Here is a 1,154-nt window from a genome sequence, read left to right on the forward strand (position 1 = left end):
AGAACAGGAAAGGGGTCATAAATTCTGCCTTTCAGGTAAGTGAGAAAGAGGAAGCAGGAAAGGGAAGACAAGCAGGAAGAGGCATCTGAGCTATCTAGGTCTAAAAGGATGAGAAGGGTTTTGGGGTTTTTGTTAAACAGAAATAGAGAAAGGTAGATGTTGCATATGAATCAGTTTTTTATAAGAAAGAGTATGATTTTAAGTGCACCAGGAACTGCAAAGTAATTCCTACCCTCTCCCATCTTAAGCCAGCTCTTCTGTTAGTTTTACTAACAGGAGAGGCACTCTTATTTCTGAAAGACACCACTTCCTTTCCTCAGCTCCAAAAGCCAGCCATCTGTCCCAGGAGATTCAAGGAAACTGTGGGAAAAGCAAAACATGTTGGATGGAGCATGGGATGACTCAGTGAGCTGGCGATGAGACTGTGGGTGGGGAGGCTGAGCCTGAGGACAATGACTGATTCATCCCCAGGTACTGCTGTCTCTCTGTGCTACCATAGAGATAAAATTTGTGTAGTGAGCAAGGGCCACAAGTCTTTTGGTCACTCCACCCATTTATAAATAAAAAGTTTTCCTTCCTAAAGAAAGTTTACTTCTATTTTTAAGTCTCAGGTGTTCATGGTGGGAAGAGCTGGGAGAATCTAAGTTCTCCCTGCATGCCTTTCCCCTTCTTTTGGTAGCAGCACCCTGATTTTTCCTTTAGTGAACTCTCATGCCGTAGTGCTCAGTCTCTATGAATCAGGTGAGGCTGATACCATCCCATCGCTCCAGAGAAGAACACATGACTCAGGCTTTGGCAAAGACAACATTTCATTCCCTTGGCTACAGTGATTGCTTTAGGGGTAAGCATATGACCCAGGTTAGGCCAGTCACACTCATCCTTGGGTGTCTGACTGAAACCATAAGCAAAGAGGTACTCTCTGTGGACGTTATTAAGCTGGCAAGAATAAGCCTGGAGCTTCTGAGAACCACCTTGCCATCATGGTGGGCAGCCTGCCAGAGAATGAAGCCAACACAAATGAAAATAGAAGATATGATATGAGAAGGGCAGGTCTTTAACCAGATAAGAAATTTACATTTAAATTCCCATGAAAGTCCCCCATGGACTTAGCAGTTAGGTGGACTGCACATTTCCATTTCTCTTTAGTTAGGCTG

General features: G+C 44.0%; 1 annotated feature.

Annotated features, from left to right (window-relative positions):
• Positions 668-868: a silencer, noted in NCBI's record as "peak1789 fragment used in MPRA reporter construct". NCBI's record gives its function as "represses an SCP1 promoter by STARR-seq MPRAs in K562 erythroleukemia cells {active_cell/tissue: K562}" and the evidence as "EXISTENCE:reporter gene assay evidence [ECO:0000049][PMID:32103011]".

The sequence above is a fragment of the Homo sapiens genome, chromosome 12 (genome assembly GCF_000001405.40).
Source record: "Homo sapiens chromosome 12, GRCh38.p14 Primary Assembly".
NCBI lineage: Eukaryota > Metazoa > Chordata > Mammalia > Primates > Hominidae > Homo > Homo sapiens.